This window comes from Homo sapiens, chromosome 16 (assembly GCF_000001405.40).
Source record: "Homo sapiens chromosome 16, GRCh38.p14 Primary Assembly".
NCBI lineage: Eukaryota > Metazoa > Chordata > Mammalia > Primates > Hominidae > Homo > Homo sapiens.
In genome coordinates, this window is record NC_000016.10 from 1,063,752 (window position 1) to 1,086,806 (window position 23,055).

At 62.8% G+C, this 23,055-nt stretch overlaps 1 protein-coding gene and 1 long non-coding RNA gene across 3 annotated transcripts, besides 4 other annotated features; one reads left to right on the forward strand and one right to left on the reverse strand.

Annotated features, from left to right (window-relative positions):
• SSTR5-AS1 (SSTR5 antisense RNA 1) lies at positions 330-14,980 on the reverse strand. Its single transcript, NR_027242.1, has 4 exons — positions 14,707-14,980; positions 13,873-13,961; positions 3,168-3,292; positions 330-2,775 (listed from the first exon to the last, which is right to left on the reverse strand). It is a non-coding gene; the product is annotated as an SSTR5 antisense RNA 1 (long non-coding RNA).
• Positions 6,031-6,787: an enhancer, noted in NCBI's record as "H3K27ac-H3K4me1 hESC enhancer chr16:1119782-1120538 (GRCh37/hg19 assembly coordinates)". NCBI's record gives its function as "activates a minimal SCP1, AML or CMV promoter by ChIP-STARR-seq in naive H9 embryonic stem cells {active_cell/tissue: H9 hESC(naive)}" and the evidence as "EXISTENCE:reporter gene assay evidence [ECO:0000049][PMID:30033119]".
• Positions 7,756-8,497: an enhancer, noted in NCBI's record as "H3K4me1 hESC enhancer chr16:1121507-1122248 (GRCh37/hg19 assembly coordinates)". NCBI's record gives its function as "activates a minimal SCP1, AML or CMV promoter by ChIP-STARR-seq in naive H9 embryonic stem cells {active_cell/tissue: H9 hESC(naive)}" and the evidence as "EXISTENCE:reporter gene assay evidence [ECO:0000049][PMID:30033119]".
• Positions 8,996-17,703, forward strand: SSTR5 (somatostatin receptor 5). Of its 2 annotated transcripts, NM_001172560.3 has the most exons (2): positions 8,996-9,071; positions 15,091-17,703. In NM_001172560.3, exon 2 carries the CDS (start codon positions 15,118-15,120, stop codon positions 16,210-16,212), a length of 1,095 nt encoding a protein of 364 aa, NP_001166031.1. In that variant the 5' UTR covers positions 8,996-9,071; positions 15,091-15,117; the 3' UTR covers positions 16,213-17,703. The 2 variants fall into 2 exon arrangements, with proteins under 2 accessions (NP_001166031.1, NP_001044.1); NM_001053.4 differs by lacking the exon at positions 8,996-9,071 and having other exon boundaries at positions 15,075-17,703.
• Positions 14,734-15,398: an enhancer, noted in NCBI's record as "H3K4me1 hESC enhancer chr16:1128485-1129149 (GRCh37/hg19 assembly coordinates)". NCBI's record gives its function as "activates a minimal SCP1, AML or CMV promoter by ChIP-STARR-seq in primed H9 embryonic stem cells {active_cell/tissue: H9 hESC(primed)}" and the evidence as "EXISTENCE:reporter gene assay evidence [ECO:0000049][PMID:30033119]".
• Positions 19,180-20,032: an enhancer, noted in NCBI's record as "H3K4me1 hESC enhancer chr16:1132931-1133783 (GRCh37/hg19 assembly coordinates)". NCBI's record gives its function as "activates a minimal SCP1, AML or CMV promoter by ChIP-STARR-seq in naive H9 embryonic stem cells {active_cell/tissue: H9 hESC(naive)}" and the evidence as "EXISTENCE:reporter gene assay evidence [ECO:0000049][PMID:30033119]".

The following is a 23,055-nucleotide window of genomic DNA, read 5'->3' on the forward strand; positions in this document are numbered from 1 at the left end:
AGCCTGGCAGGGACCCTGAGTTTGGGTCTGTGGGGGTGTGGCCTCTGGGGGAGGGCAAACCCCGGTGGGCACTGGTCACCGGTGAGCCGGCGTCGTGGCCACAGCCTTCACACTCCCAGCCGCTGCAGGTCCCCGTTTCCGTACGTCACCCAGCGCCACGCTTCTGCACCCACGCAGAGCCACGCCCCACCTGTGCGTTCATGCTGACTTATTACCGACTCTTCTCGAGTGAGGAGTTCTCGCCAAACGCCATTAGGCTTTCAGCTTCCAGATGAAATGAAATGGCTGATGAATCACTATATTTCAACATATTAGGAAAGATGGACCTATTTGCATCCGATGAGCAAAATGCACTTTTTTATTGATTGAAAAGTTGATGAGGCAAACAAATCAGGGAAAATGGCTCCCTTTTCATTTCCCTCTGAGCAGCAAATTAAGCGACTTAAAAGAGCTTTGAATGAGTCAACAACAAAATGCCCCTAAATGTGGAAATGTGAAGTGCAAACATTTCAGCCTCACTGTCAGTGCCCACCGAGGACACAGCCTGCCTCCCGCCCTGGGAAGCTGGGGGCTGTGGAGGACCCCGGCCACTTGGACATCCAGCCACATCCCAAAGTCTCCAAGGGGAGATGGGGTCCCCAGCAAGCCTGTCCGGATTAGCCAAGATGAGGGGCTTCAGGAGTCAACACAGATGGAGCTGCCAGGCGTGGTGGCTCAAGCCTGCCATCCTAACACTTTGGGAGGCCAAGGCGAGAGGATCACTTGAGCCCAAGAGTTCAAGGCCAGCCTGGGCCACATAGGGAGACCTCCCCCATCTCTAAAAAGATTTTTAAAAATTAGCCAGGTCTGATGGCACCTGTAGTCCCAGCTACTCGGGAGGCTGAGGTGGGAGGATCGCTTGAGCCCAGGCATTAGAGGCTCCAGTGAGCTATGATCACACCACTGCACTCCAGCGACAGGTGAGACCCCGTCTAAAAAATATCTCACAACAAGAGAGAGAGAGGGAGGGAGGAGCCTGCACCGGCTGAACTATTTCAGCGTCCTGGGGCTGCTGTAGTGCAGGCTTACAACATCAGAAATTTATTCTCTCCCAGTTCTGGATGCCACGAGTCCAAAATCACGGTGTGGGCAGCACGCAGCACACTCCTTCCGGAGGCCCTGGGGAGGATCCCTCCCTCTTCCAGCTCTGGGGGCTCCACGCCCCTGCTGCGGCCGACGCTCCAGTCCCTGCCTCTGTCCTCACAGGGCCTGCTCTGTGCATCTGTCTCTATTCTGCTCTGCTCTTCATGGAGGAACACCAGTGACTGACTTGGGACTCAGCCTCAATCCAGGGTGACCTCGTCCCCAGATCCTTAATTACATCTGCAAAGCCCTACTACCAGGGAAGGTTGCATTCTGAGGTTCTGGGCGGACATGAATTTTGGGGGCAGGACACTGTCCAGCTCAGTGCCGGGCGCCGCTGTGGGCCAGGCCCTTTGACTCTTGCAAGCCCACGATGGCTACAGAGCTCCAAGGAGGAGGCTTCCTGGAGGAGGCGGCCCAGCTCATCAGAGAACCAGCATGTCTTCCCCTTGGGTTCTGGGACCAGCACTTTTAACGATAAGTCCTTTTGGACCACGCTGATCCGGGCTGAGACCTGTCGCCTGCCGCGCGCCTTGGGCGGAGGTTAGACAGGCCGCGCACCTCCAAGCTTTGACACGTCCTTCCTCCAAAGGGTGGAGGCCCCACAGGGTGAGTGCAGGTTGGGGATGGGCCGTGGGGTTGCCGGGAGGGGACCAGTGGGGGCTTGCAGTGTTCTCGGGAGGGCCCGGGGCTGGGGGCAACCGAGACCTGCTTCGGTGGGTGAGTGGAGAAGCATCTGGGGGGTTTCCTTCAGCGCTGGAGAGAAATGGGTGATGAAGCCTGGGAAAGGCGTGGGGGGCCCGAAGCGTGCACCACGGTGAGAAGGCTGCGCGTGGTCGGATTCCAGCTCCCCCGCGTCTGCGAAAGGCTGAGCTGCGCCGGCCGGGGGAGGGTCGGAGGCTGCCGGGGGTTGGGGGATGAAGAGCCGGGGGCAGTTTAGGGCAGCGCATCCTCCGCGGAGGCAGGAACGGCAGGCGGTGCGATTCCCACCAGGACCTCTGCCATCGGAACCGCGGGTTTCTGCCGGGCCGGAGGCGCCTGAGAGATCTCCGCGGAACGGCGCGTGAACCTGCGGCCGCGGCGGCGGGTCCGGATGGAGATGGACGCTGGATGGGCTGTTTCCTGAGTTTGGTTCCCGTGGCGGGGTCGGCCCCTCGCCCCTGCATTTGGCAGACCTGATGCGGAGCCCGAGGGTGGCTGTTGGCCTGGGGCGGGGAAGGGGCTCTCTAGATCGGGGGTCCCACCTGCTGGGCTTGGGGAGCCCATTTGGCCTTCTCTGATTGGTCTGGAGTTGCAGGTGAGGCCACCTCAGGAAGCTGCTGTATCTGAGGGAGCCCGGGCCGCCCTGGGGGACGCTGGGGTTTGACTTCTGGGGCTGGGGGCTGCACGGGTGGGTCGGGGTCTGTCTGGGTTGGGGTCCGCGGCCGCGTGGGGTCTGGATTGGCGTCTGCCTGGCTTGGGGGTCCTCAGCCGCATGCAGTTTGGGTCGAGGTCGGGGGTCCGCGGCCGCGTGGGGTCTGGGTCGGGGTCTGCCTGGCTTGGGGGTCCTCAGCCGCATGCAGTTCGGGTCGAGGTCTGCAGCTGCGTGGGGTCCGGCTCTCATGGCCCCTGTGCCTGGACTTCGCTCTCCAACCATTTCCTCTGCACGTTTCCCTGGAAAAGGACATGGGGTTCAGGGTGGTGGATGTGGACACCCCCTGAAACCCACCAGCCCTGGTCTGTGATGCCTGGATGGAGGGGCCACAGCCACGCCGGCTCCCAGCCTCTTCCCAGACACCCTAGCCCCTGGAGGCAGGGTCCCCCCGTGAGGCGTATCATCCCTGAGCGCCCCACACGCCTGCTCCTGGGCATCCTCCTGGGTGGTGGTGTGGTGCGGCTCTGCGTCCCCACCCAAACCTCACATGGAAATGGAGTCTGCAGTGTGACGGTGGGGCCTGGTGGGGAGTGACTGGGTAGCAGGGGCGGATTTCTCGTGAATGGCTTGGCCCCGTCCCTCCTGGTGCTGTCCTCGAGATTGTGAGTGGCCATTTAACTGTGTCCCGCACCTGCTCTGTCTTTCTCGTTCCCGCTCACGCCATGTGAGACACCTGCTCCCGCTTCGCCTTCCACCACGGTTGGAAGCTTCCTGGGGCCTCTCCAGAAGCAGAAACACCTGTGCTTTCCATATAGCCTACAAAGCGTGAGCCAATCAAACTCTTTTCTCTATAAATTACCCAGTCTCAGGGTTTTTTTTGTTTGTTTGTTTGTTTGTTTTGGTGGAGGCGGGGGTGGACAGCGTCTCTCTCTGTCGCCCAGGAGGGAGTGCAGTGGGGCGATCTCAGCTCAATGCACCCTCTGCTCCTGGGTTGAAGTGATTCTCCTGCCTCAGCCTCCTGAGTAGCTGGGATTACAGTTATGTGCCACCATGCCTGGCTAATTTTTATACTTTTAGTAGAGACGGGGTTTCACCATGTTGGCCAGGTTGGTCTCGAGCTCTTAACCTCATGATCCCCCTACCCCCAACGCCCCGCCTTGGCCTCCCACAGTGTTGGGATTACAGGCGTGAGCCACCACGCCCGGTCGTGGGTATTTTCTAGCAGTGCAAGGACAGACCACCGCACCTGGTGAACGCCCCTGACGGCAGTAATGAGGCACACCTGGGGGTGCCCCGTGGCAGACACACCTGAAGGTGGTTGGGGTTGCCAGCGAGGGAATCTGGGAGGAGCCAACCGGAGACCCAAGTCCTCTCTATGAGAAACATCTGAGCCCTGGCCTGTCCTGTGGAACCCGGGCCATGCTGGGGATTGAGGTCCTCTGTTTTGGGTTCAACGGAGGCTGCGGGTGGAGGTTGTTGGGGGAGGGTGCTAAGTGAAAATGCTGTAGGGAGGGCGTGCTTCTGGCGGGGGTTGTGGTTTTGTGGTGGTCGTGGTTTTTGTTGTGGTTGCGATTTTTGCGGTGGTTGTGACTGTGGGTTTTGCGGTGGTTGTGGTTTTTGAGATGGTTGTGGTTTTGCAGTGGGTGTAGTTCTCCCACCCCACCTGCTGCCGCTGGACCCTCTCCCCTGTGTGTAGCCCCCGCTAGGACCCCATGTCTGGATCCTGGCTCTGGGTCTCTTCTCTGGCCTCGTGAGACTGGCGCCATCTCCACTGGAGCCAATAGGCGTTCGGCACAGCTACCCCCAGCTCCCTCTGTCTCTGGACGAGTTGGTGGCCGCTCCCACGCAGGAATGCCGACAGCCTTTGGCATCACACAGGGTCAGGATCCTGGCTGTGACCCCTCCCCCAGTGACTTCCTGCGGGACTGATGGCCAGAGAGGGGGCCTGTCGGCCCTGCAGTGCCCCTCCCACCATCAGCCACACTGAGTTCTGGGCAGGAGTCCCCTGGCCTTGGTCCCACCCACCCCAGGAGGATCCAGTGAGTCCAGTCTCCACCTGGGACACCGCAGAGGTCAAGCCCACCACTGTGAGGCTCAGTGGGTGCCGGGAGCCATGGCAACTCCGCAGGGATGGTCCTCGGTCCCCTCTCCAGGGACCCCACCCTAGCTGTGACCTGTCCCACGGCACCTGTACCGTGACACCCTCCTTGCTGTCCATGTGGCTATGAGGGCTGCCCTTTGCACGTCCATTCCCGAGCCCCAGCCCTAAAGCAGTGCTGGGCTCACCAGGCCCCTCTGTGGACGCCGCCTCTGTCTGTGCGGTGGGATGTTAATAGTCTCCGCGTCATGTGGCTGTTAATTTTGGAAGCTCGCCCCCTTCCTCCTCCCCCCGCTATGGTCCTGCCTTCACACCCCGCTGCCTGAGTCAGCGCCCACGGCTGCACCAGATGCTAGGTTTGGCCCCAGCTGAGGGGCTGGTGTCGCGCACGCAGGCAGGGGGCCTGGTAATGGGGCTATACCATCTGCATGAACGGCTTTGCTACTTCCCCCTGCCCTGCCCAGCACAGGCTGAGTCCACAGCCCAGACAGCAGTGCCCCGAGAGCTGCCTGGCACACCCCGGGAAGAGGATGAATCTTGCCGTATGGGGAGGCTTTGGCCCCGAGAGCTGCCTGGCACATCCCGGGAAGAGGGTGAATCTTGCCGTATGGGGAGCCTTTGGCAGGAGTGGGGCTGCCTGGTGACCGCGTGAAGCACCTCCCGGGATGAACCAGGGCCCTGCCAAAGCTGAGGCTGGGCCGGGACTCCTGGGGCCTCATTGTCTGGGATGAGGCGGGTCCCAGCTGGGCTGCGGCAGGGGCCAGGAGGTACCTGCATCTGCCCTGATCTCCCTCCTCACACCTGCAGAGCCCCTCCACTCACTGAAAAGCAGGGTGTCCTGGGTGGGCCCCGGCCTGAGCATCCAGAGACTCAGCTCCAAGCCAAGCCCTTTACCCTCTCTGAGCCTCAGTTTCCCCATCTTCAAATGAAGATGCCCAAGGAGAGCAGGCCCCGCCCCCCAGCTGGACCTATCAGAGTGCACAGAGGTGCCCAGGAGAGCAGGCCCCGCCCCCCAGCTGGACCTATCAGAGTGCACAGAGGTGCCTAGGCGAGCAGGCCCCGCCCCCCAGCTGGGCCTATCAGAGTGCTGCTGCAGGCCTGAGGCCTCACCTGGGTGGTACAACCTGCTGGCGGAGGAAAGAGCTGCCGTAGCCCAGGTGGGACTGGGGGGTCCCCATGATCCCCCAGGAGGGTGGGGGTCTTGTGTGGGAGTCTCTCACCAGCTCCAGACGCGGTTTCCAGGGCATATTCACTCAAATTCCTCATCCTCACCTTCCCCCAAGTGCAGGCCCGGCAGTGGCTTCTACCTGGGGCTGGGAGGGGGCAGGTCTTTGGTGCTCATGGGACGTCACTCCACACTGGGCACTGGTCCAGGTGCCAGGGGACAGAGTGGGCACCCCAGCGGGTTGTGTGGGTGAGGGCCTCAGCACTGCCCCCGCCTCCCATCCTGAAGGCTGGAGTAGCCTGGGAAGCTGCATTTTAATGAGCACCCCATTTTAACAGAGTGCCCACTGAAGCTCGAGACCACGGCCAGGAGGGTCAGCCAGGGCCCCAGGGGCGGGACTCAGGCCCCTGCAGAAGGCCCCATCCTTGAAACCCTTTGAGGGTCTCCCTGTTTCTGTCTGGACCCCGGGCCACGCTCTGCCCTTGGCAGCTGCAGCCTGCATCTCACTCCAGACGCCTTGGTGGGAAGCCCCTGCTGCCGGGTCCCCAGGCTGGAATCCGCAGGATGTCAGGGCACCCTGTGCTCTTGGGGACGCTCTGCGGTAGCTCCCTGAGGCTCTCAGACACCAGGACACCCTCCCAGCCCAGTCCCAGCAACACATGCCGGCAGCGCCTGCGCCAGTGTTTTCTTCTCCTGTCGGGAGGCTGGTGACCCGCTGTGCTGCCCCGGTGGGGGGCTGATCTCTGACCTCCTGTCTGGCGGGCTGTGCTGCACCAGCCAGGGCCGGGAGGTGCACGTGGACCCGTGTTTATTGGAATCCTGCTGTGATCAGACCCGGGGGCGACGTCGAGACCCACCAGGCCCCGTGGCCTCCTGTGAACATCTGCAGGCTGTTGGGGGCAGCGGTCGACGGAACAAGTGTGGGGCGGCCCGGGCTTCCCGGAGGAAGCGTTGCTTGAGCTGCCAGGGGAGTTACCTGCAGAAAGGGAGGTGGGGTGCACCAGGCAGGGGGGCAGCCAGGGCAAACGCCTGATGCTCAGAGGGTGACAGTGGGCAGCGGGGCCCTTTGGAGGAGCGGAGGGAGGGCCCTGTTGGCTGCAGGGCAGAGTGCCCCACACTCCTCCTGGCCGCCACCCCCAGGGCCCAGCCCAGTCTGGGGACTAAGACGAGAGGCCTCTGGGGTGTTCCAGGTGAGCTGGAGTCAGCCCCTGTTGCTTTTGAATAATTACAGGGGAGTCAGCCCAGTGACCAAGCCTCTGCCTGGTGGGGGAGGGGCACGGGCTTTGTGTCCGGGAGCTGCTGTCCTCAGCCTCAGGAGAGGGGGTGTCACGGGCCGTGGGACAGGTCACAGTTAGGGTGGGGTCCCTGGAGAGGGGTCTGAGGACCGTCCCTGCGGAGTCCATCCAGCCACCATCGGTTGCCATGGCTACTGGCAGCCCCTAATCCTCACGGTGCTGGGTTTGACCTCTGCAGCGTCCCAGGCGGGCATGACCTCATTTGATCCTCCTGGGGTGGGTGGGACTGAGGCCAGGGGACTCCTGCCCAGAACTCAGGGTGGCCGATGTGGGGAGGGGCACTGTGGGGCCGACAGGTCCCCTCTCTGGCCATCAGGCCCCCAGGAGGGCCCAGGTGCTTGGAGGTGGGGGGTGTCCCAGCTTGATGTTGGGGATGTGAGTAGATCCAGCGCCCACCCACCCGCAGGGCTGAGCTCCCACTGGGCGCTGGGCCGTGACTCGCACACCGGACCCTGCACCCCTGGGGCACCCAGTGATTCCAGAACAGTGGGACCCCAGAGGCTTCTCAGGGAGCCCCAGAACATGACAGATGGGGGCCCAGGTGCGAGGCAGTGGGAGCTGGAGGAACACAGCCAGGGGCTGAGGCGAGAACCATGAGGATGGTGGGCAGAGGCTGAGGGGAGGGGCAGCAGATGGAGATGGGGGAGGCGTTAGGGGTCACAAAGGGGGTTCTCAGAGGATCTGCCTTGGGAAGCCACTGCTGTGGGAGGGTGGGAGGGATACAGCCCAGGTACCTCCAGAGAGGATGGAAAGGCTTATGGGGCGGATTCTGGGCAGGGGACCTGGGACCAGCCTGCAGCCTCCCCTGAGGGCCTGGCCATGGCCGCAGGCTGGGGAGGAGGGGAGGGGACCTTGGGGCCAGGTGCCATGGTCCTCTAAGCACTCTTGCTCGATGGTAAACATAACACGCGCTGCTTGCAGAACATGTGGAAACACTGAAACGCTTAAAGGAGAGAACATGGTCCCGGTACCCGGCCTTCAAGGGAGCTGCTGGCGCCTGTTCAACAGGAGCCGACCCCACCTGTGAACAGACGGCAGGCGGCTGCTCCCATGTCCCCTCAGAGAGGGGCCCTCCGAGTTCTGCTGTCACCTGGGGGCGCCTCACTTCATTCAGCCAGTGGCGGGGCTCCCTGGGTCGGCACAGAGTCAGGGGAGGGGGCTGGGGGACCTCCTGGTGGGAAAATGTCCGGTGATCCCCAGCCTCCGCGCTCAGCGGGAGGAGGCGCTCGGTCCCGCTTCTTACAACCAGCGGCGCTCACGGCGGGCCCGGGGATCAGCATCCCGGGAGCTTCTCAGGAATGCAGATTCCCAGGCCCTCACTGCCTGGGGAGTCGGGGGCCCAGCTCGAGGCCCAGGAATCTGCTTTGAGGACCCAGGTGACTCTGCTGCCTGCCTGAGAACCCCACCTTAGGTGAGGGACTAAGGTGTACCCATGGATTCATTTCAGGGGAAATAAAAAGAACAACTTAGCAGGTAGTCTATGCTTAAATATGTGTAGGATCCACAAATAAGGCATGGATAAAACCCGAGTGGAGTGTCCTGGAAATCCCACGACCACGGACCCCCCTCGCTGGGGCTGCCTGCCGCCCCCACCAGCCTCCACACACCCACTTATCTCCACAACCCCAGCCCACCCCTCAGAGACGTCTGCAGAGCCCCTGACCCTCTCCCCTTGAACAAGGACCCTCCACCCTCTTCAGACTCTCGACGAGGGACCCCCTGGACTCCTGCTGGCGGCAGGACCCCCACCCCAAGCTGGGGTCTACCACAGAGCGGACAGCAAGAAAATAGGGTGGGGGCGCAGGCGATCATGGGGTCACTGCCAGTGGGACCAGGGCTGTGGGCGAGTGCGCCAGGGTTCCCGGAGGCCAGACGTGGGACCCGGGAGTCGAGCAGGTGAAGCGGCCCTGCCCCGCCCCCACCAGGCACTGCCCCGCCCCCGCCCCGCCCCGCCCCCTCCCAGCCGGCGCCCGGGAGCCCGGAGCCAGTGCCGCGCGGACATCGGGGCTCCCCCGTTCAGAGGGCGCCGCCGCCCAGGTGAGTGCCGCCCGCCCCTGTCCCCCTCCCGCGCGGGCACCCCCTGCCCTCGGCTGTTATCCCCACTGGGGGTTTCACCCTGTGTGCGCAGCCCCGGCCCGGGGTCCCGCCGTGCGCCCCCAGCCCGCTGCACGCACTGTCCCCCACGCGCCCTCCGCACACCCGCGGGGCTCTCCTGCCGCCGCCGGGGGTCCCTCCCCTCCCGTTCCATCCACTCCCAGCAGCTCCATCCCTCCCATCTCCTGCCCCCACCCCACAACTCACCATCTGCAGGCACCCCGTGTGCCAGGGTCAGCCCAGAAGCCACAGGGGACCCAGATGGCCCCACTCTGCCCACCGCGCCGCTCCCGGCCTCTCCTCCCCACGACGGGGGCCACAGCGGGGCTGGCTCCTGGAGCTGGAGGAGGGTGGGTAAGGCTGGGGAGGGCTCGGAGCCTGGGGCTGGGGGCCGGAAGTGGCACTCAGGCCACAGGGAACCACTGGGCCACGGAAGGAGGGTCCCAGGGTGCCCGTGGCACCCAGCGAGGGGAGGATCCGCAATTTGGGTGCCGGGGGAGGCAACTGGTGCCTGCGCGCAGCTGGGTCGGTGAGCTCCTGGAAGGCAGCAGGCAGAGGCCAGCACCCAGGGGCCCTGTGACCTGGCACTCACAGATGGGTTCCCTGAAACCCAAGACTGGGGAGGCTGGGGTGCCACCCCGCCCGCTGCGAACAGAGCCCCCTCCTGTCCAAGGCACCGCGTGTACCTGGAATCCTCCTGGCGTCTTCACCCTCTCCAGAATAGAGAACACGCCACTGGGGTGTGTGCCCTTGGCCCTCCTCCCCCACCCCAGACCCACCCACGTGCCCGACCCGCTGTCCCCAGCCTGCCAGCCTGCCTGGGGCCCCCTCAAGGGCAAGAGAGCGGAGTGCATGGTGACAGAAGTTGGGGATGGTTCCAGTGAGGCTGAGCCCTTTCTGAAGGCAGTGATTCTGGACTATGTAGGTGGGGACTGCCAGAGCCTCCTGGGCAGAAACTGGTCAACAGCACCAAGGACAGGCGCCTGGCGTTGATTTCCAGAGCAAGACCCAGCGAGGCTGTCAGGAGGTGCCTGGTGTGGAGGGTGCCCCGAGAAGCGTTCGCGGAGCACGCGGGACCCCTGCTGCTGCTGCTCCAGGCTGGCCCACACCTGCCTCAGTTTCCCTCTCCTGGGGAGGGTATGTGCCCCTGGCCACAGGCTGCCGCAGGGACAGGTGGCGTGTATGTGGGGGACAGGCAGGGGTGCCATTGGCTGCACTCACAGAGCTGGACCCCAAGGGGGCAGTGGCCTGCCACCAGGCCACCCTTACGACAGAGGAAACAGGTCAGAACGCTTGTCCTGGGAGCACAGGCCTGGCTCCGGGGCCTTTGGAGGGGCTGGGGCCTGTAGTCTTAGCTAGGGTGTCCCCCGACGTTTGCCCCTGCCCAGCACACAATGGAGGAGCCCGGGTGGGTCTGCAGCCTCTCCAGGGTGCGGCGTGGGCCCCGGCCGTGTGAGCCGCTGCCTCCCCGAGCAGCAGGTTCCGCAGCCCCTCCAAGCTGCAGCCGCATCGCTGCCCCCCATGAAGGAGCCGACTCCCCGACCTCGTGCTGGGTTAGCCTGGAAGGAGTTGGCAGGGTGCAGGCTAGACCTCCACCCAGTCATGGAGGACTTGGTGCTGAGGCCCCGCCTCTGGTCCCAGGCCCCTGTGAAGACTGCCCCCTTCTCCGAGGAGCCCAGCGGCCTCCTGGATGCTGGGGAAATGCTGGGCTGCTTAGGGCAGCTTGTGGGAGCAATCGTTGAGCGCCCAGTGTATGCCAGCCCCGCTGTGGTCCCCGTCGTGGGGAGGTGAGGCCGGGAGCGGTGCTGTGGGCAGACTGGGGCCATCTGGGTCCCCTGTGGCTTCTGGGCTGACCCTGGCACACCGGGCACCTGCAGATGGTGAGTTGTGGGGTGGGGGCAGGAGATGGGAGGGATGGATGCTGCTGGGAGTGGATGCACGCAGCACCCTGCACACAGAAGCTCACTCAGTTTCATCAGCTCAGCAACCCTACAGTTTGCAGGAGTTGCCTATCCCAGAAGCTGGGCTCAGAGAAGCCCGTGACTTACCCCAGACCACGCAGCCCGTGTGGGGAGTGGTCAGGGGCCGGGGTCTCTCCCAGTGCCATGTCAGGCTGAGCAGATCCCTTCGTGGCCGAGGGCTCGGGATCAGAAAGCTCCTACTGCTGGCTCCCCCTCCAGTGAATCCCCCACCCACAAGGGACAGGGCCACCGGGACAATTCCCCGTGAGTGCGTAATTTTATGATTCAGAGGATACTGCTTCCAAATAACGGCTCTTGCAGAATTATGTTCCAAGAGTCAGGTACAGCAATAATGGTCTATTTGTGTCCTTTGCTGCTCTGAAGTCTAACTCCGGAGGTGGAGCACTGGGGGCCGCAGAGCCGGGGACCTGGCAGCCTGTGGAGCCCCTCGCTGGGCTCTGGGCATGGGAGTGGCCTTGGAGGAACCCTGAGGCTCCTCTGAAGCTAAGAAGCTACAAAGACAGGGAGGCTGAGGCAGGAGGATCACTTGAGCACAGGTCGAGGCTGCAGTGAGCTGTGATCACAGCACCACTTCGATCCAGCTCGGGCAACAGAGCAAGACCCCATCTCGAAAACAAAAAATCAAACAGGCATTTGGGAACCACACGTGCTGGGGACCCAGGGCCTGTGTTGGAGATGGACCGGAGCCCGACAGCCGCCCTCTCCCTGTCCCACCATCGGTGGCTCCTCTGTCCCCTCCACCTGGCCTCCTTGCTACGGAGGAATGGGCCGAAAGTGCCTCCCCAGGGAGGGTGCAGCTCAGAGGCCTCTGCACCTGGGCCGCCATCCCACCCACCTGGACTCCCACGCAGCCCGCGGGCTGTCTCCAGACCACTGTCCTTCCGGAATGCATGCTCCACAGGCAGCCAGAGGGAGCCGCAAACATGGCGTGTTGGATTTCCATGCTGGTCCCTGGGGAGCGGAGAGCCACAGGCCTCTTCCCCTCCCTCTCCCTCTCCCTCCCTCCCTCTCTCCCCCTACCCTGTCTCTCTCTCTCCCCCCCCACTCTCTCTCCCTCCCTCTCTCCCCCCACCCTGTCTTTCTCTCTCCCTCCCCACCTCCCCCTCTCTCTCCCTCCCCCTCCTCCCCCTCCCTCTCCCCCCACCTTTTCTCTCTCCCTCCCCACCTCCCCCTCCCTCTCCCTCCCCCCTCACCTCCCCTCCCTTTCCCTCCCTCTCTCCCTCTCTCCTCCCCTCCCCCTCCCTCTCCCTCCCTCTCTCCCTCTCTCCTCCCCGCCTCCCCATCCCTCTCCCTCTCCCTCCTCTCTCTCTCCCCCTACCCTGTTTTCTCTCTCCCTCCCCGCCTCCCCCTCCCTCTCCCCCATACCCTATCTTTCTCTCTCCCTCCCTGCCACCCCCTCCCTCTCCCTCTCCCTCTCCCTCTCCCTCTCCCTCCCTCTCTCCCCACACCCTGTCTTTCTTTCTCCCTCCCCACCTCCCCTCTTCTCCCACCCCGGGGTCTGCGTGGAGGCCACTGCTCCGTCCCTGCTGAGGATTCTGCTGCACTCTGGCTCCTGCCTGTGGGAATCCGTCCTGTCTCTCTGGCTGGTGTCTCTCTGGCTGGCGTCCCTGCCCAGATGCCGCAGCTTGATGGGGATGCTCTTTCATTCCTTTATGCTGCTTGGGACAGGTGCGCTCCCAGAAGGGATCCTGTCGCCAGTTCTGGGGGAGCCCAGCCATGCTCTCCCCCTGCCCACCCCACAGAGCCCTCTCTGGACCTTGTGCCAGCACCCTGCTCCAGTGAATCTTTCAACCCTCTTCCCATTCACCAATTCTCTCTTCAGTGCTGTCCACACTGGAGTTGGTTCTGACCACTTTTGTAGTGTTTTTTTCCACTTAAATGATTGTATTTTTTACATCCAGGATTTGTAATTTTTAAAAATAGATGCCTGTTCATTTTACTCCTTAGACAGAAGCCAAATGTATTTCCTAACATTTTATCCATGCTGTCTCTGTGGATCCTGCACATATTTAAACATAGCCTAAGCGTACCTGTTTGCTCGTTATTTTTATCTCCCTGAGATGGATCCATGGGTCCACTGGCCCTGTTGATTTTCTGAGTCGTATTTCTTAGTGTGTTTGGGCCATGCGAGCTTGGGGATGTTGATTTCTAGGTTTGTTGGGGACAGAGGGCTTTCTCTTTGTGCTGTCAGCCTTGTGTTCTGGGCTCCCCCGTCCCCAGCTCTCCTTTCCTTGTCTACCAGATTTCAGTGGCCTTGGCCCAGCCCCACAGCCCCCAGCCAGGACTGTGGCCTTTCCTGGCAGCTGCTGGGGTCGTCCTGTGCTCTGAGGTGCCTCCAGGGTCAGGGCCGGTCAGCTGAGCAGCCCCAGGGCTCCAGACGGCACATGCTGAGGTCACCACAGCCGGCTCCACCCCTGCTCAGGCCGAGGTCCCCCAGGGAGGGGCTTGTCCCTGGTCTGGATCCTAGGGGACACTTTGATTCTCTGCTGGCCACCCCCAGAGTCACACAGCTCCAGGGTCAACCCAAACATCCGGACTTCCTCCGCCCCACTCGTCAGGGGAGGCATTGATCTTCTTTTTGAGACAGGGTCTTGCTCAGTCACCCAGGCTGGCGTGCAGTGGTGTAATCACAGCTCACTGCAGCCTCAACCTCCTGGGCTCAAATGATCCTCCTGACTCAGCCTCCTCAGTGGCTGGGACTACAGGCGCCCGCCACCACACTTGGCTAATTTTTGTATTTTTTGTAGAGACGGGGGTCTCACCATGTTGCCCAGGCTGGTCTTGAACTCCTGTCCTCAGGTGATCCACCCGCCTCGGCCTCCCACAGTGCTGGGATGACAGGCTTGAGCCACTGCACCCAGCCGGAGTATCATTTTTATGAATGATTTCAAACATGCAGAAAAATACAAAAACAATATACGAGGTACACACGTGCCCATGGCCTTGGACCCACAGACGTCACCATTCCCAGCCCACCCTTCTCCATGGACACCCCTCCCTCCCCTCCCCCAAGTCTCCCCTGTTCTCTCTCTGGGCCACAGTGGGGGGTTCCAGGGCCTGGGAGGGGGCTCAAAGCTCCGATGGGACTGGGCAGTGTCAGGTGGCTGCAGCCCCCATACGCTATGCCTCTGACCCGCCCACACCCCCCACCGCGGCTTCTCCTCCGGGCTGCAGGGTGTGCAGCCCCCGCCCGCAGTCCCCCCTCCTTCGCCCTGTGTGACTCCTGGGGCTCCGTGTGACCACTCTGTGTGGTTTGTGTGTTTGCTTCTCTGCAGCCGCCCCGTGGGGAGGGTGGTGTCTCTCTGGCCCTGTGCTGTGCCCCCGCCTGGGTTTACAGATGTCTGTCATTGCTGTGGGGGTGACGGTCCCTGCGCTGGCCTGGAGAGAGGTTCGGGGCCAACGGGCAGCGGGCACCCCGGTGAAAGTCCCTCGAGGCTGCGGTGGCGACACCACGTCCAGCCACTTCTCAGGTCGTCCTAGCCAGGTGCCATTCATCCCAGGCGGACAGGGGGCCGACCACCGGCCCCATCTCTCTCCACTGCCACCTCTCCCTGTGTGTCCCGGGAGGGGCCGCCCGCTGGGCCTCGGCTCCTTACCTGGTAGACGAGGGCAGCAGCACTGCAGGGCAGGCTCTGAGGGGCTTCAGGGAGACGCAGGTGCTGGCCTCAGACTCCAGGATGCTGCGGCCAGGCCAGGCGCCATCTGGGTGCAGGGGCGGCCACAGGGCAGCTGTCGCCATATCGACAGCAGCCGTCCGTCTGGGCTCCCGGGGCCACCTGCCCGCCGCTCCTTCCTCTCCTGGCTTATTTTCCAAACAATTTGCTTAACGTGATTCCCGGCCAAGCTAAACATGACTAATCGTGTTTACCCGGTGATCCCGCGCCTCCTGGCAGGCGGGGCTGGGGCCCAGGAGGAAGGAATGCCTGCATGTGCTGGTTCAGGGACTCACCACCCTGGCGTCCTCCCTTCTTCTCTTGCAGAGCCTGACGCACCCCAGGGCTGCCGCCATGGAGCCCCTGTTCCCAGCCTCCACGCCCAGCTGGAACGCCTCCTCCCCGGGGGCTGCCTCTGGAGGCGGTGACAACAGGACGCTGGTGGGGCCGGCGCCCTCGGCAGGGGCCCGGGCGGTGCTGGTGCCCGTGCTGTACCTGCTGGTGTGTGCGGCCGGGCTGGGCGGGAACACGCTGGTCATCTACGTGGTGCTGCGCTTCGCCAAGATGAAGACCGTCACCAACATCTACATTCTCAACCTGGCAGTGGCCGACGTCCTGTACATGCTGGGGCTGCCTTTCCTGGCCACGCAGAACGCCGCGTCCTTCTGGCCCTTCGGCCCCGTCCTGTGCCGCCTGGTCATGACGCTGGACGGCGTCAACCAGTTCACCAGTGTCTTCTGCCTGACAGTCATGAGCGTGGACCGCTACCTGGCAGTGGTGCACCCGCTGAGCTCGGCCCGCTGGCGCCGCCCGCGTGTGGCCAAGCTGGCGAGCGCCGCGGCCTGGGTCCTGTCTCTGTGCATGTCGCTGCCGCTCCTGGTGTTCGCGGACGTGCAGGAGGGCGGTACCTGCAACGCCAGCTGGCCGGAGCCCGTGGGGCTGTGGGGCGCCGTCTTCATCATCTACACGGCCGTGCTGGGCTTCTTCGCGCCGCTGCTGGTCATCTGCCTGTGCTACCTGCTCATCGTGGTGAAGGTGAGGGCGGCGGGCGTGCGCGTGGGCTGCGTGCGGCGGCGCTCGGAGCGGAAGGTGACGCGCATGGTGTTGGTGGTGGTGCTGGTGTTTGCGGGATGTTGGCTGCCCTTCTTCACCGTCAACATCGTCAACCTGGCCGTGGCGCTGCCCCAGGAGCCCGCCTCCGCCGGCCTCTACTTCTTCGTGGTCATCCTCTCCTACGCCAACAGCTGTGCCAACCCCGTCCTCTACGGCTTCCTCTCTGACAACTTCCGCCAGAGCTTCCAGAAGGTTCTGTGCCTCCGCAAGGGCTCTGGTGCCAAGGACGCTGACGCCACGGAGCCGCGTCCAGACAGGATCCGGCAGCAGCAGGAGGCCACGCCACCCGCGCACCGCGCCGCAGCCAACGGGCTTATGCAGACCAGCAAGCTGTGAGAGTGCAGGCGGGGGGTGGGCGGCCCCGTGTCACCCCCAGGAGCGGAGGTTGCACTGCGGTGACCCCCACCCATGACCTGCCAGTCAGGATGCTCCCCGGCGGTGGTGTGAGGACAGAGCTGGCTGAAGCCAGGCTGGGGTAGACACAGGGCAGTAGGTTCCCCACCGTGACCGACCATCCCCTCTAACCGTCTGCCACACAGCGGGGGCTCCCGGGAGGTAGGGGAGGTGGCCAGACCGGTGGGGGGCTCCGCCATGCCGTGCAAGTGCTCAGGGCCGCCTCACCCTCCATCTGGCCCCAGCCCATGCCGGCCTTCCCTCTGGGGAGCGACTTTTCCAGAAGGCCGGCCAGGCGAGAGGGTCTTCCTGACGGCGGAGCTGACCTGCCCGGCCCACCAGCTGCATGTCAGCTCCGAGCCACCGGGTCCCCGTCCAAGGCTGCTCTGCTAAGTTAAAGACACCCGAAAGCGCTTGACTCAGGTCCCCGGAGTCCCTGGCCAGGGCCCCAGCCCCTCGCTTGCCCTGCACTGTGTGGACTCTGGGGATGCAGGTGTAAGGGGAGTGTGGCTGGGCAGCCCCTGGTCAGCCAGGGTCACGCCTGTCCTGGGGGCCCCACCCTGCTGCCCGACACCCCCCATGGGAGGCTGCGGGCGGCAGTTGCTGTCTCAGAGAGGGGAGTGTGGGGGCTTGGGCGCTGGCCTAGCCAGGGGCGAGGTGGGGAGGCGGCTGGTGCAGAGGAGAGCTGGGGGCTGAGGTTGGGGTGAAGGCTGCAGCCCTCCAGGCTGCTGGGGGTGCAGATGGCTGTGCCGTGCTGAGATTGGCTCTGTCTGGAGGGGTCCAGTGTGGGGTGCCTGAGGGCACTAGGGAGAGGTGCTCCTGCTGCAGGAGGACCTGAGGGTCAGGGCTTGGAGAGGACAGGGAACCTGCGGCCGTCTCTTCTGCTTTGGGGCAGGGGCTCTGGCCCGGGAGAGGGAACGGGGACAGGAGCAGAGGACGGTCATCCAGGCGCAGCGGGGAGCTGCTCCCCAGGCCACAGCAGACAGCACTGCTGAGAGGCAGCGGCCGCGCGGGTGACGCAAATGGCAGGCCCTGGGAATCCCGCCGCCTCCCACCTAGAATTGTCCTACCTCCCCCACCCCAAACACCAGCTTTTCCTGGCGCCCCAGGCCCAGAACGTGGGCCCAGAGAGCCTTGCTGGGGTCTCTGGGGCACCTTGGCCTTGCTCTGAGGCTGGAAGGAGAAGGACCAGGGTGCGGCATCACTCGGCCTCAGGGACCCCTCTGCCCTGCCCAGCACTGGCCCCGACCCGTGCTCCCGCCGTCTGCCCAGAGCAGGACCTCAACCTCCTGGAGGGCACAGGGAGCGGCTGAGTGGGCACAAATCCTGGCAGGAGAAAGGCCCAGGCTGAGGCCAGGCCTGGGAAACATCCAAGCAGTGAGGACACGCGTGTTTGACAACTGCTCCCCTGAATAAATGCGAGGATAAATGTTTGATTCTTTCCCCGAGCAAATATTGTCCCTGGAGCCGAGTGCAGCCAGCGCAGAGTGAGCGGAGCCTGGGCTCCCCCGAGGCCCGACACAGGGCCCGCCCCCGGCCCCAGCCCCGCTGAGCCAGACAAGGCCGGGACGGGGGCGGCCAAATGCCCAGCAGGAAGCGGGAGGCGTGGAATTCGTGAACAGGGTGAAAAATGATGGAAGCTGCCTGGGGTCTTAGGCTGGAGCTGCCCCTCACAGCTTCTTGACAGCTCTGGGCGGGGCAGGGTGGGCTTCTGCAGGGGGTCCACAAATCTCTGCCTCTTGAGTCACCAAAGAGGGGTGCATCCAGGGTGCACTGGGGGAAACCGAGGCCCGTTCACACCGCAGCACCCCCCTCGACCTGCCTCCCCAGGGATTTGGGTGCCATGTTCACCCTCTCAGAAGGCTTTGGGGACCGAGCAGATGGCTCGGAAATCCCTGCCAAGATCAATTTCTCCAATTGATTTGACACCGGGCGCTCTCCCTGCAGGGCCGGCAGCCACGAGGGGCAGACAGAGGCGCCAGTGCCCTCACTCTCGGGTGAAGACGCCCTTGACCCCCAGCCCATTCGACCCGGCCACAAGCCTCGGGCCACCCTGCTCCCCACCTTGTCCAGCCTGAAGCCCCCAGGACCCCGGTCCCTGTCCGTCCCAGGCCCCAGCCTCATGGCCCTGCCGAGCTCCCCAGTCTGGTCCCGGCCACCCACAGCCCACATCTGTGCCTTTGGTCATAGCCTCGTCCCCATCAGGTGCACACCCTCCCCACAAACCAGACCTGCCGGCACAGCCTCTTCTTCCCTTGACCCCCAGGACGCTGTCACGCTGACCTTCTGGGGACGGTGGGCTCATGACGGCAGCCCCACAGCTGGGCCTAGGACTTACTGCCCTTGACCCCCTGGGCTGGCTGAGCCCTGAACACGTGTCTCCATCGGACAAACACACCTGCAGGGCACCAGCATGGGGCTGGGTCGTGGGATCAAGGTTGAACCGGAAGAGCATTCCAGGCAGAGGGAACAGCCTATGGGAGGGCTCAGAGGCAAAGGGGCACAGGGGGGTTAGCTGTGGGGGTCAATTCAGAGAGAGGAGCAGATCCAGGCCCCTCAAGTTCTGCCCCCATGCTGCCCCAGGGAAGGACGAAGCTGCGCTCACTCCAGCTTGAGAGAGGAGACTGGACGAGAGGCGGGAAGAGGCACACACAGGGAGTGTGCGGAAGCTGTGAGTCATCCAGAACACGCAGCGGCCTGGCCCGGGGCCGGGGCCCCAGGGGTGCTCACGAGGCAGGGGCAGCCCCTGTCCAGGCCTGGAGAAGGGGGCAGTGGCACCTGGCTGGTTCCTGCTTGGAGCACGTGGGAGGACAAGGCCCCGGGGTCTGATGGCCTCAGTGGGCTGAGAGGGCTGAAGATGTCTGGGGAGGTCCCAGGCAGCCCATGGACCAGGCTGGGCAGAGCCACGGGGAAGAGGACAAGGCCTGGATGCCCCCAGGGCACCAGCATGAAAGGCCGGGTGGGGTCAGGTGAGTGTCTGGAAGGAGCATGGGCCCTGGACCCCTACATCCTCACCTCCCGGGGCAGTGGGGGCCTGTGGGTGGCAGGGGCCGCGGAGCCGAGACCCCTTGCAGGCCACCGGAGAACCCGGTGGGGGTGGGGGGTGCGGCGCGGAGCAAACATCCTGGGCGGGGTGGCTTCCCGGCCCGCGCGCATCACTGGGTTTTATTGGCTCTGGGCTCCAGCGACTCCAGTGACCTTGCTCAGGAAACAGGCCCGGGCAGGACGAGGAGGGCGGGAGGGATCTGTTTGCCTGGCAGAGTGGGTGTGGGGAAGACGGGGCCAAGGAGAAGCAGCCCCCACAGGCAGGAGGAGGTGTCGTTAGCTCCACAGTGAGGGAAACTGCGGCCGGGCCGTCGTGGATGCTGACAGACCCCAGCGGGCCGACCCTCATCCCAACCCAGCCCCATCAGCAGGGGTGCCCTGGGGCGGGATGTGGGGGTCTGTGGAGGACCTGGAAGGCCTCCTGGGGAGGGAAGGGGGCAGAGGCGACCGGCAGCCATGGGGCCCCCAGAAGCAGCCACTGGCCCAGGGCCCCGGGGAAGCCGTTTCCTCCCACCAGACGAGACCCCAAGAGAGTGGGTGGGGTGGGGACGGGGAGTGGGACCAGCTGTGGGGTCTCAGGGAGGCAGTCTGGGGGAAGACTGCCCCTAGGACAGGCCCCTCTGCCCTCCCAAGGCCGGGTCTTGGCAGCACAAGCAACCGCTGTGGGTGCAGCAGAGGCGGGCGCTGGCCACGCTGCCCCGTGGAGGCCTGGAGCCACCTCGGGCTCTGCACTCCTGTGGGTGGCAGGAGCCGCCCAGGGCCCCTGGCAGGCTGTTAGGTGGAGTCAACCTCCTGGGTTCATTCTCTTCTGTCCCCACCCTGGCTCGGCCACAGCAGCCACCGCCTCTGGCTACGTCTCCCTCCTTACTCCCAACCCCACCTCCACTTCCAGCCCCATTTTATCCCAAACACAAATCTGTTCATGTCCCTCTGCTGCTCACGAGCCTTCTGTGGTTCCCACTCCTCAACCCACGCTTCCCAGGGCTCTGTCCCCGTCCTGGGAAACGGGTGTGATCACGTAGTGTGGTTTGAGGAGGGCTCACAAGGATACCGTCAGGACCAGGTGCCAGGTGCAATGGTTCATACCTATAATCCCAGCAACTGCTGAGGCTGAGGCAGGCAGAGAGCTTGAGCTCGGGGGTTTGAGGCCAGCCTGGGCAACATAGTAAGACCCTGTCTCTACACAATCTACAAAAATTATTCAGTGGTGCTGGTGCATGCCTGTCGTCTCACATACTGGGGAGGCTGAGACAGGAGGACTGCTTGAGCCTGGGAGGCGGAGGCTTCAGTGAGCTCTGATCATGCCACTGCACTGCAGCAAGACCCCGTCTCAAAGGAAAAAAAGGCCCTTTGTGAAGTGAGGAGTACAGTGCCCTGGCTGACACCTTGGCTTTATCAGCCTAGAGGTTCAAGGTTTGGGGCAGGGTCCTCAGAACCCGGAGATGAGACGGCTGGGAGAGGAGAGGCTACCTGTGGAGCAGAGACAGCCAGGGCCTGCTGGACTCCCCAGTTCTCCCTCCCAGGGCCTGCTGGACTCCCCAGTTCTCCCTCCCGGGGCCTGCTGGGCTCTCCAGTGGCCGAACGCAGCTGGAAGCTCTTGGTTTTGTCTATAGTGGTCGGCAACTCATGTAGAGCAGTGGGATGGGTGAGATGGGGCTGTGGAACAGAAGACACTGGCCCCTCCACCTGAGTCCCTGTTCTGATGTTCATCGCCCCAGAGAGGGTGGCCGGAGAGTGAGGGGATGCCCAGGATCTGCCTTTGTCCCAGTCGGAGCTCCTGCCTCTCACCGCACTCTGGTGCCCAGGTCCTGCCCATGGGTGCCTCCCTCCATGGGGGCTTGGAGCTTCAGGAAGGCAGTGCTGGCCATGCCTGTGCCCTCAGACATGTCCTCTCACTCCTAACTCTGCCTCCAGGAATCATGGTGGGGGCAGTTCCCTAGAGCGAGGCAAGGATTCCATGGCTGCCAGTGCAGTGGGGAGAGGTTCACAGGAGAGGGAGGTCTGGCTGCTGTTCCTGTCCACCTGGCTATGGCTTTGCCCAGCTCTCTGTACACTGGGTCTGCCTACTGTGATCCCCTGCCAGGCCCTGCCCATGTGTTTCCTGAGGGACACGGACGATGGTAGTGACCAGGCAGCTTGGAGATGCCTGTAAGCCACACGAGAATATCTAGACACTGGCACTCATGATGGTGTGAATCCACGATGATTTTTCATTCCTTCCTGTATCTTCCAAATTCTCTATTTCCTCTCAAGTTTTCCTCCTCCATCTGTGCAAGACCCCTGCAGGGCAGGAAGGCCGTCCTTTGCTGTCTATGGGACAGCCCTTCCTAGGGTCCCATGTTTTAGTTTCAGGATTGACACAAAGTAGAATGTTTTACTTTCATGAAGTCCAACCTATCATGTATCTACTTGGAAAATTATTCTGCTTTTTATCAGTGGGAGGTTTTTCCCCATTCACAGATTAGCCAAATGTCCCCACGTATTTTTTAAAATTTTGGTAAAATACGTATGACAGATTTTTACCACCATAACCATTTTTGTGGATGGTCCTATGGCATTAAGGACACTTACACTGTGGTGCAACCATCACCCCCATTTATCTCCAGAACTCTTCTCAAAACCACAAACTGAAACTCTGTCCCCATTAAACGACTCCCTATTCCCACCCCCAGCCCCGGCACCTGCCCTTCTACTTTCTGTCTCTATGAATTTGAGTCCTCTAGGTGCCTCGCGCAATTCGAATCAGACAGCATTTGTCCTTTTGTGACTGATTATTTCACTCGGCGCACTGCCTTTGAGGCTCATCCACGGAGCACGTGCCAGAATTTCCTCCCTGTCTGAGGTTGGCCACTGTCCCCGTGCATGCGTGGACCACATTTGGTTTTTCCATTCATCATCAGCAGACACCTGGGCGGTGTCCACAGTCTGAGTCCACTCCTGCTGCTGTCATAGAATACCCCACCCCTTAATACCATCACAGTGACCATCAGCTTCAGCATAGGAATTCTGGGGGCACATTCCGACCACAGCACCTACCTTATGGCTACAGTGAGTAACGCTGCTGTGAACATGGGTGTACATCTCACAATCCCACATGGGTTTTGTTGGTGGTGGTTGTGTGTGTGTGTGTGTGGCAGGATCTCGCTTGTTGCCCAGGCTGGAGTGCAATGGTGCAATCTTGGCTCACTGCAACCTGTGCCTCCTGGGTTCAAGTGATTCTTCTGCCTCAGCCTCCTGAGTAGCTGGGATTACAGGCACCCACCGCCTCACCCAGCTAATTTTTGTATTTTTGGTAGAGACAGGGTTTCGCCATGTTGGCCAGGCTGGTCTCGAACTCCTGACCTCAGGTGATCTGCCCACCTCGGCCTCCGAAAATGCTGGGACTACAGGCGTGAGTCACTGCACCCGGCCTACCCCACCTCTTAATACCATCACAGTGACCATCAGCTTCAGCATAGGAATTCTGGGGACACATTGTGACCACAGCAGCTACCTTCTGGCTACAGTGAGTAATGCTGCTGTGAACATGGGCGTACATCCCACAATCCCACATGGCTTTTGGTGGCGGTTTTGTGTGTGTGGAGGGGTGAGGGGCAGAGTATCGCTCTGTCGCCTAGGCTGGAATGCAGTGGCGCAATCTCAGCTCACTGCAACCTCTGCCTCCCGTGTTCAGGCAATTCTCCTGCCTCAGCCTCCCCAGTAGCTGAGATTACAGGCGCCCCCCACCACACCCAGCTAATT